This window comes from Homo sapiens, chromosome 1, assembly GCF_000001405.40.
Source record: "Homo sapiens chromosome 1, GRCh38.p14 Primary Assembly".
Taxonomy (NCBI): domain Eukaryota; kingdom Metazoa; phylum Chordata; class Mammalia; order Primates; family Hominidae; genus Homo; species Homo sapiens.
The window spans coordinates 161,362,302-161,376,729 of record NC_000001.11 but is presented as its reverse complement, the minus strand read 5'-3'; the positions used below and the strand labels follow the sequence as shown (position 1 = coordinate 161,376,729).

Sequence of the window (14,428 nt, the reverse complement as noted above, 5' to 3'; positions counted from 1 at the left end):
GAAATTTCCCTTTGGGGAAATGTATGGGAGAGTGAGTGTGAGTGTGTGCAAATAAAATTCCCTTTGGAAGAGGCCTTTTTGTTTTATTGTTTGATTTGTCTAATTGTATTACATTTTGGTCAGATAATACTATTTGAATTATTGTTTCTTCACTTTGGATACACTGAGATTTTCTTTGTAGCTTAGGATGTGAATGTGCCACATTTTTGTGAATGCTTTATGCATTTTTTTCTTTTTTTCTTTTTCTTTTTTTTTTTTTTTTTTGATATGGAGTCTCACTCTGTCGCCCAAGCTGGAGTCCAGTGGCACGATTTCGGCTCACTGCAACCTCTCCTCCTGGGTTCAAGCAATTCTGCCTCAGCCTCCCGAGCAGCTGGGATTACAGGCGCCCACCACCATCTTCAGCTAATTTTGTGTATTTTTAGTAGAGATGGGGTTTCACCATGTTGGCCAGGCTGGTCTCAAACTCCTGACCTCATGATCCACCCGCTTCGGCCTCCCAAAGTGCTGGAATTACAGGCATGAGCCACCACGCCCAGCCCTTTACGCATTTTTTTAAAAAGTTTATTCTCTATTATTAAGGTTCAGAGTTTAATATTATTAAATCTACTTAAATATATTTATTATGTTGTTTAGGTCTTCTGTATCCTAACTTATTGTTCACTTGACCTTTCTAGATCTGAGGGATTTGTTAGTCCTCCTATTATAGTGTGCTTCTATTTCTCCTTGTATAAAATGTCATTATCTTTATAAAAATTGTGGCTAAAATTTCTTTCTCTTTTCTCATTAAAAGTAATGCTTTTTAGTCAGAATTCTACTTTGATGGATAATTACAACTGCAACCCCTGCTTACATTTAGGAATAAATTCTGGTACATCTCTTAGTCATTTATTTAGGCTTCCTGAAACTCTTCTTAGATGTAGCTCTTTTATATAGCACAGTGTTGGACTTTGCTTTGTCAATGTGAAAACTATTTTCTTTTAATAGGTAGGTAAACCCATTCTTTCTCTCTTTCTTTATTTAAACCCTTTCTTTCTTTCTTTTTGATACGGAGTCTCGCTCTGTCGCCCAGGCTGGACTAAAGCGGCACGATCTCGGCTGACTGCAACCTCCGCCTCCCGGATTCAAGTAATTCTCCTGCCTCAGCCTCCCAAGTAGCTGGGACTACAGGCGTGTGCCACCACAGCTGGCTAGTTTTTGTATTTTTAGTAGAGACGGGGTTTCACCATGCTGCCCAGGCTGGTCTTGAACTCCTGACCTCAAGTGATCCGCTGCCTCAGCCTCCCAAAAAGCTGGGATTACAGGCGTGAGCCACCGTGCCCAGCCCCCTAATCTCTCTTTACTGATAGTTGTACTATATTTACAAGATTGCCAAGAAATGTGGAAAAGTTAATGAATACATATTAATGGTTTATTAATATATTTAAATACATGATAAAATAATAGTATCTATTTCCAGACTTCATGGTCAACCTGTATATTGTTAAAGCACATAGCCAAGATATCCTATACTGGTGCCATTATAACCATCATTTATTCTTAGTTATGCAAGTAAACAAACTTAATTCACACCACTAGTGAGAGATACTGATGTCTTTTCAGTCATTTTGGTTGTTTAAAGCTTGTTCTTTGGTCTTTTTGTTTTGTTTTAAGAAATAGTGTTATAGGCCAGGCACAGTGGCTCACGCCTGTAATCCAACGACTTTGGGAGGCCAAGGCAGGTGGATCACCTGACGTCAGGAGTTCCAGACCAGCCTGGCCAACATGGCGAAACCCTGTCTCTACTAAAAATACTAAAATTAGCAGGGCATGCTGGTGTGTGCCTATAATCCCAGCTATGGAGGGGGGCTGAAGCAGGAGGATCACTTGAACCTGGGAGGCGGAGGTTGCAGTGAGCTGAGATGGTGCCACTGCACTCCAGCCTGGGCAACAGAGCAAGATTCTGTCTCAAAAAAAAAAAAAAAAAAAAAGGAATGAAAGAAAAGAAAAAGAAATAGTGTTAAATAGCTCTATGAATGCTGCAGAGAGGGCTACCCCATAGGCAGTGTGTGGGGAGTATACAAAGCTTGTTCTTTGGCTCCTCAGGAAGGGGATCTTATCAAGAATATTATTCTTTTGTGGTATTGTCAGTGGAAAGGAGAGATGTAACAGCAGTCTCCGAGAGAGGGAGCCTTAGTCTCAGGAAAGAAAACTGGATCAGCTATTTTAACTCTATAGAGAAGTTTTGAAACTATAGCTTTTACATTTGTAGCCATGCATCTCTTCAGGGGTCAGAACTACGCCTTCATTTCCTATAAGGAAATCTACAAAAACCAGGGTGTTTGAATAGTTCAAAATTTGGCCAGTAGCTTGGTTGGATGAAATCCTGTTAGCCCAGGAAATGGGGCAAAAGCCAGGTCTCCTATCCAAGACCCATCAACACCTGACCCAGTGAGGTGACATGGAGGGCACCTTGGAGCTACTTAGAAGAAACCTTAGTAGAGAGCTGATGGTATAACTAGAGACAGTGATTCAGGTGGTTACACTGTGTAATAGATGAGATAAATGCCCCATTTTTACTATGAAGGGGTTACTAATAATTTTTTCTGGTTTTAAAAATTGCCATGGGAGGCCGGGCGCGGTGGCTCACGCCTGTAATCCCAGCACTTTGGGAGGCTGAGGTGGGCGGATCAACTGAGGTCAGGCATTCGAGACCAGCCTGACCAACATGGAGAAACCCTGTCTCTACTAAAAATACAAAATTAGCCGGGTGTGGTGGTGCATGCCTAAAATCTCAGCTACTCGGGAGGCTGAGGCAGGAGAATCGCTCGCTTGAACCCGGGAGGCGGAGGTTGCGGTGAGCCGAGATCGCACATTGCACTCCAGCCTGGGCAACAAGAGCGAAACTCCATCTCAAAAAAAAAAAAAAAAAGAAAAGAAAAGAATAAAGGCAGTGAGAAACAGAGATGATAAAGAAGAAACAGAAAATCTTTCTGATCATGTTCTATCTTTGAAATTCTAGTATCCTTTGAAGCCCAAACTATACTTCCTACCTTTGGAATCTGTTAAATACTCCTATTAATTATAATTTCCCCACTTCCCCTTTTTTGTTTAAGGTAACCTGAATGAGTACTTCTTACTTGGCAGTCTTAAGCCAATAATAATGCTAAAATAATTGAGCATTCATTATGCATCTTGCACCCTATTAGCATGTTACATATATTTAATGCTCAAAACTAAGATTATCCCCATTTTACATGTAAGGGTACTGAGACCCAGAAAGATTAACTTGTGTAAGGCCACACATTTAGGCAAAGCCAGAATTTAATCCAGGCAATGTGACTCTAGTACTTATGCTGGTGGTTGCCTTCACGTAGGTCCAATGTACACATCGCCTATAGAGTACAGGTTAAACTTGTACTTCAATAGCAGATAATCTCAGTCCAAATAAAAGATTTCCTAATGGTTTAGTTTCAGTCATCAAAGAATTTAAGTGAATGGAAAAAAGTATCTTAAGGCATACGTAAAGGATGGGGCCTTTAAAGAGCCCTTCCAACTTTGGAAGAAGTAAATCTGGTCCTAGTAAAAGACCATCTGCTGTACCTGAAGTCAACCAGTTCATCTGAAGAAAGGCTAAAATTCAATACACTTTTATTAGAAGCTTAAAATTGCCTGTTACTACTGATATTACAATTTCCTAGTGAAATCTTTTTTTTGTTGAGACGGAGTCTCGCTCTGTCGCCCAGGCTGGAGTGCAGTGGCGCGATCTCGGCTCACTGCCAGCTCCACCTCCCGGGTTCACGCCATTCTCCTGCCTCAGCCTCCCGAGTAGCTGGGACTACAGGCACCCCCCACCACGCCGGGCTAATTTTTTGTATTTTTAGCAGAGACGGAGTTTCACCGTGTTAGCCAGCATGCTCTCGATTTCCTGACCTTGTGATCCACCCCCCTGGGCCTCCCAAAGTGCTGGGATTACAGGCCTGAGCCACCGCGCCCGGCCTGAAATCTTAAATATTAGAATTCACATAGGATCAAGCCAGGACTCCACCTTGGATTTTTTTTTTTTTTTTTTTAGACGGAGTCTCACTCTGTCGCCAGGCTGGAGCACAGTGGCGCAATCTCGGCTCACTGCAACCTCCGCCTCCCGGGTTCAAGCGATTCTTCTGCCTCAGCCTCTGGAGTAGCTGGGACTACAGGCGCGCGCCACTACGCCCAGCTAATTTTTGTATTTTTAGTAGAGACGGGGTTTCACCATGTTGGCCAGGATGGTCTCCATCTCTTGATCTCGTGATCCTCCCGTCTCAGCCTCTCAAAGTACTGGGATTACAGGCGTGAGTCACCGCGCCTGGCCTTTTTTTTTCTTTTTTTTGAGATGGAGTCTCACTCTGTCGCCCGGGGGATGGAGTGCAGTGGCGCAATCTCGGCTCACTGCAACCTCCACCTCCCGGGTTCAAGCGATTCTCTTGCCTCAGCCTCCCGAGTAGCTGGGACTACAGGCACGTGTCACCATGCCCAGCTAATTTTTGTATTTTTAGTAGAAACAGAGTTTCGCCATGTTGGTCAGGCTGGTCTCGAACTTCTGTCCTCAACTGTTCCACCTGCCTCAGCCTCCGAAAGTGCTAGGATTACACGTGTGAGCCACTGTGCCCAGCGTGTACCTTGGATTTTAGATTACAGAGAGACAAATAATCTAAAACGATCACCTTTCTCTCTAGAACAGTGGGTTAGAGGATCCAGAAACAGACCCAAATATGTTAGGGAATACATTAAAAATGGCATTTCAAATCAGTAGAGGAAAAGAAAACTTATTAATGATGCCAAGGCAACTAGTTAAGGCAACTGAAGCATAACCTTGTCCACATTCACTAAAATTCCAGAAGGAACAAATATTTAAATGTAAGAACTGAAGCTAGGGGTAAATTATTTTTAAAATATTGGAATTCACAAAAAGCCATTCAAAGCATAAGATCCAGAGCACAGAAAAAATGAGTAATACATCTGACTACTACATAAGTACTAAAAACATGTCCATGGCAAAAAAAAAAAAAAAAACCCACAGAAAAACAACAACAAAACAGAAAAACCACCAACAAAATGAAAGTAAGTGACAAATTGGAGGGAATATTTGCAACATATTTGACAAAGGACTAATTTCCTTAATATATGGAGTTCAAACAGATTAATGAACATGATCAACAGGCTGGGTGCAGTGGCTCAAGCCTGTAATCCCAGCTTTTTGGGAAGCTGAGGTGGGCAGATGGCTTGAGCCCAGGAGTTCAAAACCAGCCTGGGCAACATGGCAAAATCCCATCTCTACAAAAAAAATTAAAAAATCAGCTGGGTGTGGTGGTGCATCCCTGTAGTTCCAGTTATTCGGGAGGCTGAGGTGGGAGGATTGTTTGGACCTGAGAGGCAGAAGTTACAGTGAACCAAGATGATGCCACTGCACTCCAGCCTGGGTGACAGAGGGAGGACTGGTTTCAAAAAAAAAAGTCAACAGCCCAATAGTAAGTGGCAAAATACATTAAAGGCCATTTTCAGGGAAAAAAATTAAAATAAAAACAGTTTATACACATATAAAAACACCCTAATTAAAGAAATGCAAATTTAAAACAATGATATACCATGTTGGGTGGGTGTGGTGGCTCGTGCCTGTAATCTCAACACTTCCAGAGGTCGAAGAATCACTTGAGGCCATGAATTCAAGACAAGAGGAACAATATAGTTAAGACCCTATCTCTTAAAAAAAATTTGTTTTTTTAAATTAGCTGGGCATGGTAGCTCATGCCTATACTCCCAACTACTTGGGAGGCTAAGGTGGGAGGATTGCTTGACCTCAGGATATTGATGGAACCACTGCACTCCAGAGCTTAGGCGGCAGGGAGACCGTCTCAAAACAAAAACAAAAAATAAAATTATATACCATGTTTAACCTACAGCTTAACAAGCAATATGATATAATGGTTAAAACTGCTGGCTCTAGAGTCAGAATACTTGGGATTAAATCCTGGCTCTACTCCTCACTGTGTATTCTCCAGTTTCCTTGGTTGGGTTGAGAACTAAATGAGAAAATGTAGTAAAGCAATTAGAACTGTGCCTGGCATGTATATAGTAACTGCTCAGTTAACATTAGTTCTACTAGTTCAATCAATTAGTTCTATTAGTTCAATTCTATTAGTTCAATTAAAATTGGTTTAAACTGAAAAAAAAAGAAAAAACGATGATGTTGAAAAGAAAGCAGAGAACTAGGCACTCATACGCCATCATACACCACTGGTAGAAGTACAAACTGGCACAATGTCTTTCAGTGGTAATTTGACATTATCTACTTATTTTATTTTATTTATTTATTTATTTTTGAGACGGAGTCTCGCTCTGTCTCCCAGGCTGGACTGCAGTGGCGCGATCGTGGCTCACTGCAAGCTCCGCCTCCTGGGTTCACGCCATTCTCCTGCCTCAGCCTCCTGAGTAGCTGGGACTACAGGCCCCCGCCACACGCCCAGCTAATGTTTTGTATTTTTAGTAGAGATGGGGTTTCACCATGTTAGCCAGGATGGTCTCGATCTCCTGACCTCGTGATCGCCCGCCTCAGCCTCCCAAAGTGCTGGGATTACAGATGTGAGCCACCGCACCCGGCCTATCTACTTATTTTAAATGCACAAACCCTTTTGACTTTGCAATGTACTTTAAAACATTTATCCTACAGATCACATATGTACATAAAAATACATACATACATATTCATAAAGATACATAGGGATTTTTCATTACAGCAATGTCCTTATTAGCAAAAGACTATAAATAAACTAAATGGTCATCCATATGGGTCTGAACAAACTATGGTGCATCCCAAAATGGAATATTATGATAAAAACATAATCCCCAAGATAGTCAAAAAGCAAATCAAAAAGCAATGTGGACAGCTCTCTCATTAGTGTTTGTATGCAGAGAAGATTTCTGGAAGGAGACACAAGAAATGAGTAACAGCAGTTGCCCTGAGGAGCAAGACTGAGAGTTGAAATCAAATGGAGATTTGCTTTTCACTGAACATCCTGTAAACATGAAATTTTTTCCATGTACATTACTTTTTCAATTGAACAAAAACTGGTTAACTTTTAAAAATGAGTGCAGTCATCATTTATCATTACATTCCTATCAGAAAGGCAGAGGGAGGCATACCAACTGAAGACAAATTCTAAGAGAAATAATGCTAGCCTATCATTGCAGATTAAAGGGCCAAAATGGATATCCTAGAGCAAAGATAGTCCTTGGTCCTTAAAGAACTCTTCTCTAGAGAGTGATAAGAACCACAGGGACTAAGCTCATGAGTTATCTTTCCAGATCTCACATTATCCAGGTATTAACTCCAGAGCCTATAAAACAAGAGCTGTTCTTCCCTCCATCTGCAGAAGCATAGGAGTGCTCTTATACTTGGTGTGTTGGTTAAGATGAGGATTTTGGGGGAAGAAGGAAAAGAGAAGGGACTGATGGATATACTTTATTTATTTTTTATTTTTTGAGACGGAGTCTCACGCTGTCGCCCAGGCTGAAGTGCAGTAGTAGCATGATCTCTGCTCATTGCAACCTCCGCCTCCCGGGTTCAAGCAATTCTCCTGCCTCAGCCTCCCGAGTAGCTGGGATTAGAGGCATGCACCACCATGCCTGGCTAATTTTTTGTATTTTTAGTAGAGACAGGGTTTCTCCATGTTGGCCAGGCTGGTCTCGAACTCCTGACCTTGTGATCCGTCTGCTTCGGCCACCCAAAGTGCTGGGATTACAGGCATGAGCCACCGTGCCCGGCCTGGATATACTTTATAATGGTCTCCTGGTCCTAATGATATCTTTGGGCAACTTATTTCTTAGTTTTTCCCTTTCATCTTGACACCTTATATATAAATTCACTTTACAATTCACAAAGCACAGTTCTACTTACTTATTAATTCTCCTAACCACCTCATAGATGGGTATTACAATACCATTTTATGAGTTTCAGAGGGGTTTCCTTGTCCCACACATATTAGGCTTATGTCCTGGCAGCCCCCCATTGAACTCTCCAAACCTGATCCTTTCCACTCTGTGATTTTCTCTCTTCATCCCTGCTCAATCTCCCTGCACCAGCACCCGATTCCATTTTATTCCAGTCAACACTAAACGCCTGTGTTCTTAGGTGCTGATTCTAGACAGTGACAGAGGAAATTTTTTAAGGACCAAGGACAAGATATGTTTTTCCTTCTGGGGACAGATTTGAGCTAGTTGCTTTTTAAATATTGTTCCTTTGTTATTCTGCCTGATAAGACAAAGTAGTGGGCCTTATAAACAGGATCTCACCAGGATTGAATACCTACTATGCTATGATATTGTCTAGACACTTTATTCATTTTATCTCACTTACCCTGTAAAAGCAGGCTCTATTATCCCCACAATACAAATGAGTTGATAGAAATTTAGTGAAGACAAGACAGTTGTTTAATGTCATATAGCTCCTATGTTCCCATGTTGAATAAGGATTCAAACCCCAGTATCTGGCTCTACAGCCTGTGGTACATTACACCATGTTGTCCAACAAGCATAGCTCTCAGGGTTACATGGTTTGTTAAAGTGGTTAAAAACCCCAATCAAAGGCCCGTGGAAGTTCTTAAGCAGGGGTAGGTTATGCCAGAAAAAAAGTAGTGGCTATTCAGCTAATTTTCTCACATTTACTCAGTCTTTCCCGTCTGTAAAATAAAAATGAATCTAAGTTCCAGAGAAAACAAATGGGGGCAGTGTGAGCCAAGGAAGTGAATAATAATAAGCAGAAGAGAAAGGCAGCCTCTGCTCATTGGTAGTCCCAGGAGGTCGGCCTTCTGCAGTTGCCAAGCAACGAGTGTAAACAGCACAAGATCATGGCCACTAACTACAGTGCCAACCAGGTAAGTTCCCATTCTCCATTTCTTTAACGTTTACTTTTGTTTTTCAGATTCTATCTTTGGACTGTCCCCTCTCATAGGATTCTGATCTTTGAACAGATAGCTGAGAGTGGAGTGAGATAATATTTTACCTCCTCAGGGATAGAGAGAGCCCAGGGGCGATCCAAAGGTATCTCTTGGTTAAATTTGTAGGGTGTAAACCAGAAGTTGGCAATTTTTTTTCTGTAAAAGGGCGGAGTGTAAAAATTTTAGGCTTTGCAGGCCAAGTGGCAAAGTCAAAAATATTCTGTAGCTACTTGCATAATTAAAGAAAAACATTTTTCCATAACATTTTTGACAAATTCAAAATATAACTGAGTACAATTTTTTGTACTACTAATGAAAATAATGGAATTTTGGGGGTTGAGAAAACATTTCACTTAACTGGGATTCAAAGTTAGTGTTCCATTTGACTGAATCAATTGTAAATGTTCATCTATAAAAATCACCCTTACTCTCAGGCCATCCCCAAACAGGCAGCAATATGGATATGGCCCATAGGCCATAGTTTACCAACTCCTGATCTAGACCAGTGCTGCCCAACAAAAAGAGTGCGACCCACAAATGTAATTTTAAATTTTCTAGTAGCTACATGAAAAAATTAAAACATAAAATTTAAATATATTGAATTTAACCCAATAAATCCAAATATTATTTCAACATTTAATCAGTATTTAAAAAATTATAATCAGACATTTTACGTTCTTTTTTTGTACTAAATCTCCAAAACCTGCTGGGTGTTGTAGCTCACGTCTGTAATCCCAACACTTTGGGAGGCTGAGGCACAAGGATCGCTTGAGGCCAGGGGTTTGAGACCACCCTGGGCAATATGGTGAGACCTCGTCTCTACAAGTAAATTTAAAAATTAGCTGGACATGGTGGCATGCACCTGTAGTCCCAGCTACCTGTGAGTCTGAGGGAGGAGGATCGCTTGAACCCAGGTGTCCAAGGCTGCAGTGAGCTAGGATCATGCCACTGACTCCAACCCAGGTGGCAGACCAAGATCCTATCTCAAAAAAAAAAAGAAAAGAAAAAAACTTAAAAATTCAGCATATTTCATATTTACAAAGCACCTCAATTTGAACTAGTCATATTTCAGGTGCTCAACAGCTCCATGTGGCTCCCGGCTCCATGCTGGACAGCACACATCTAGACCAAACAAATTACACCCTTGTCATAGTGACTTAAAGCCTACATGGTTGGTCAGGCCTTTGGTCTTCAAATCTAAAGAATTGTGCCTAGTCTTCATTTCCTGGGTTTGGGGCCTTGAAGTCTCATAGGGCTACTTATCTTTCTCTCCACAGTATGAAAAGGCTTTCTCATCCAAGTATCTGCAGAACTGGTCTCCCACTAAGCCAACAAAAGAGGTATTCCATGTTCAGTGCACCTACAAGATAGCCTCATGCTCTCCCTGTCAATTAACTCCTTTTAGCATTCTCTAAACTCCCATATCCTTCTCTGACCAAGCTCCCCAAATACTTCCCTTTTTCCCCTCACAAACCTTTATCTCTCCCACTTGTACCCCAGAGCATCTCTTCTCATGAAGGCTACACTCAAATTATTGCCAACGATCGTGGTCATCTACTGCCTTCTGTGCCCCGTTCCAAGGTGAGATACTATCTTCACTCCTATCAAGAAAGTCAAATAATTAAGGCACAGAACTGGGAGATGTGCAGTCTCTCACAGCCATTATCGGGAAAATTAAAGTTTAATCTAATTCATGTTGTAATGTGAGAGCCCCTGAACTTCCGGCCAGCTTACCCAGCAGGATAGAGTTGTGTTTAGCACCCTTCAGAAGTTCTTAAATTGATCAATGATCTGTATAAATGAAAGCCTTCAGGTGATGACATTTGTGCAGTGGGTACTCCTTTGCCACACTCGGCCTAAGGATGTGGAATTTAAGTTGGCAGAGTAAAGGGGATGAAAAAATTAGGCCTGCAAAGCCTAAATGAGGGAGGGGGATAAGGAAGGGTGGGAAGATTATGCTTTCAGTCTTGTTTCATAACCATGCATTCCTAAAGGTAAAGAAAGGAAATAATACAGAGGTCTAAGTCAGTTACTGGGAGTGAGAAGCCCTACTGAGGAATCCCTTTTCATTTTTAGGCAAATCCTTGGGGTTCCTTCATGGGCACCTGGCAAATGCCTCTGAAGATACCCCCTGCTCGGGTGACCCTGACCTCCCGTACAACTGCTGGTGCTGCCTCCCTCACCAAATGGATACAGAAAAATCCTGATTTACTCAAGGCCTCCAATGGGCTGTGTCCTGAAATCTTAGGCAAGGTATCTATTCTTCCCATCTAACCCAAAACCCTGTAGTCTCAATTTCTTTTCAACCTCAAAAAATGTCTATTGTTATGCCACCACTATCCCAGCATGGGGGACCTCTAACCAATTTGTCTTATCTTGACTAGTCCTTAATCACCTTCTGAGGCCTGAAGGGATGGGCTAAGGACATCATACCCCCAACAGTAGAAAATGATCTAATCTCAAGGTGGGGGAGGGTGGTTAGAGAAATCAAATTTAACTTTTCTTATTTGAAACTTGATCTACTGCCCATGGTATGGGGAGAAAGGGAGTTAGAATCCTGAGGTGCATTAGGAATGATCCGGGCCTGACCAGAGACATGACTATCTCTCCCACTCTTATCACTGACAGCCCCATGATCCAGACAGTCAGAAGAAACTCAGAAAGAAGTCTATCACAAAGACTGTACAACAAGCACGAAGTCCAACCATAATTCCAAGCTCCCCAGCTGCCAACCTCAATTCCCCAGATGAACTCCAAAGCTCACACCCCTCTGCAGGTCATACTCCAGGTCCCCAAAGACCAGCCAAATCCTAAGAGCCCACCTGGAAGTCCACGTATGCTAGAACTCTGGGCAGGGCCTAATCTAGCTGAGGTCCAGAAATACAAACCTGGAACTTCATATGGACCAAGTGGCCACACACTGAAAAACCCGTATAGCGACTCAGTGAAATAAACAAGAGCCCCCAGTCAGAACTGTGAAACAGGGAAATTTTGGGGTGGGAGTAAAAGCAAATTTGGAAAATAAACTTTTTTTTGTTGAATCTTTTACTGATCTGGATTTTCCATTCTTGCTATGGCTGCCTCTTGTAACACAATTAGGAGAAGGAAGGTAGGAGAAAATAAAGTAGGGAAAAGAACATACAGTGGTTTGGGTGGAACACATTTTTACAAGAATTGAGTCAGTTATACTCCAGAAATGACCAAGAGAAAGTTGGTCTGAATCATGGAAAAAGGGCAGAACCTCAAAGAACCAGTCCCTCAACCCTACCCACTCATTTTTTATCCTGAGCATGGACAACTAACAACTACAAAATCAGAAATAGAATTGAGTAGAGTATGTATATGTGTGTTTGGAGAAGGTGGGGAAGAAAAGGTAGGGAAAACCAAAGTAGAAGATACTATGCTTGTGTAAGACTTTCTATCTAAGCCCAAGTACAAATATAGTTTGAAAATTGAAGATATTAAAGTGATTGGAAGACAGAGAAGAAAAAGACAGTAAGTAGAAATTTAAGGCAGAATAACAAACATGATGCTCTGTCACACCCCCCACCCACCCACTACCATGCTTCAATCACCCAAATGGTACGAAACCACCAAAAAATTCAACTGCCCTACCCATTTTCCAGCCTCTAACAGCTGTTTATCATTGACCCCATTTTATATTTTCCTGGCACTGGCTGTTAAATTTAATGCCCTTGCCAAACCTTTCCCAGTCCCAATGACAAAGTGTTCTGTCATGATCACTTGTCCCTCATTCCAAGGACAAAGTAGAGAACAGCTGGTTTAAAATGGAGGAAAGGTACAAGGACTTCCCAGGGCCCCTCTAGTAAAAAGGGAAAACCAATCATTACTTAAAGCCAAATACTATTTGGGACCCTGAATGAAGACTGTTAAAACAGCGGGTCCCCACCTTAACTAAGGTCTTCCTATCCAATTGACACCAGCCAGTTAACATTTCCCCTCTTCGACCCACAGCTTTAACTGGCTGGCCAACAACTCGAAGTGACAGATGAGATAAGTCTCTTATTCCAGAGTTCCCAAAAACTATCAAAACAGCATGCCTGCTAAAGCCTGGCCTATATGGATTTTAAAAGCAGCAAGTTTTCTCATTAAATTATACATTTTTGCCAGGTTTTCAACAATCCCTTCTTTTTTAAAAAAAAACTCTATGCTTCATTCACCCCAAGCCTATAACCTCAGGTCATCATCCCCTAGCTGTCACCAACACTGGTCCTCTGTGCCCCTCAATGAATCATAATTTGCTGAACTGTACCATGAAGCTTATAATCAGTCCTTAATGGGATTTTGGTGCCTATAACCCAAAAGCACTCTACATGCGTCACTTCTTTTCTTTTTCTCCTTCCTTCTCTGAGGCTTTTCTGTGATATTTAAATCTCTGGCTAAGTTCTATCTGATTCCCTGAAAACTTTTCCAATGATGAGATGTAGGAGAACTGTTTCCCTCCTGGTAAAGGTCAGATTGCGGGGAGAGGGAGGATGTAAATGCCTGAGACCCGAGGGAAGAGGAGGAAATTGGTTCCTTCCCAACAGCCATTTTCTTGGTTTCTCTAGATTTCAAGGAGAGTCAAAGATAAAATGAGTATTTAATTCAGTTTCAGAAAAAAAGGGTACATTACTTCGATGAGAAAGCATAAAATTAAGAGGCTTTTCTGGAAATCCAAGAAAAAGAAATAACCATTAATATGTTCAATGATAATTTTCTAGATCTTCCTCGTGTCCAAAGCTATATATTTTCTCCTCAAAAGCAGCTGCTCCAAGAACTAACTAGCCCTCTTTATCTCCCTCTAGCTGGGACAGACTAATTCCCCTCCACCCCCACCTCTCTTCTTTCAATAACACTGTGTAGGTGTTAATGGCCTGGGCTCTCACCAATGAAGAGAATTGTCCTTTAAGCCAGCAACCCACAGGCAGTGGCACCCAAAGCCTCACCAACCCACCCCCCAACCCGGCCCATCCCCAGGGCAGAAGCCACAGAGCTGGCATTGTTTCCACTGTCTCAGGAAGAAGGAGCCAAAAGCTGACCCTCAGCACAAATCAAAGCCCAATATGGAGAGAGAATAACTGCTTCTAGGCCGAGAGTAGGCAAGCTGTGGGCAAAAAAGGGGAGTTTTTGCAGCCACCTCATCTTTAGAAACAAGGGGAAAACTAGACCCTTTTCCACTATTATGGTCTACCAGGTACTCTACTGCTCCAAGGAGATCTGAAAATACAAAAGGATCTAAACAAATAAGGAGAACTTTTCCCAGGCTGGAGATAAGAATGACAAACAGAAAGATGGGTGAATGTAATAATGTGTAGGAAGATGATGCTGGGAGCCTCCTTTCTTCACATGGCTGCCAGCCCCATAGAGGACAACACAGTAAGAACCAGGACAACCACTCCAGACTGGTATAGCTGGGGAATCTTCAGGCCTTTTCCTAGGTCCCACATCTGTGGACAAAGCAAAAAAAAAAAAAA

The 14,428-nt window shown here is 41.9% G+C and overlaps 2 protein-coding genes across 14 annotated transcripts in view, besides 1 other annotated feature; one reads left to right on the top strand and one right to left on the bottom strand.

The window, feature by feature from the left end:
* On the top strand, positions 8,854-11,997 carry CFAP126 (cilia and flagella associated protein 126). The gene is made up of 5 exons (NM_001013625.4): positions 8,854-8,888; positions 10,229-10,291; positions 10,452-10,532; positions 11,028-11,204; positions 11,580-11,997. Exons 1-5 carry the CDS (start codon positions 8,862-8,864, stop codon positions 11,763-11,765), a joined length of 534 nt encoding a protein of 177 aa, NP_001013647.2. The 5' UTR covers positions 8,854-8,861; the 3' UTR covers positions 11,766-11,997.
* Positions 11,049-11,551: an enhancer, noted in NCBI's record as "NANOG hESC enhancer chr1:161334969-161335471 (GRCh37/hg19 assembly coordinates)". NCBI's record gives its function as "activates a minimal SCP1, AML or CMV promoter by ChIP-STARR-seq in naive H9 embryonic stem cells {active_cell/tissue: H9 hESC(naive)}" and the evidence as "EXISTENCE:reporter gene assay evidence [ECO:0000049][PMID:30033119]".
* SDHC (succinate dehydrogenase complex subunit C) overlaps positions 13,524-14,428 on the bottom strand; it is a 48,826-nt gene continuing 47,921 nt past the window's right edge. For all 13 annotated transcript variants that reach the window (NR_103459.3, NM_001407119.1, NM_001407120.1 and 10 more), the window contains one exon: positions 13,524-14,401. Coding sequence is in view for 12 of the 13 variants with exons in the window: in NM_001035511.3 (NP_001030588.1) it covers positions 14,190-14,401 (212 nt within the window). In the remaining variant the exon portion in view is untranslated. The remainder of the gene's footprint in view (positions 14,402-14,428) is intronic.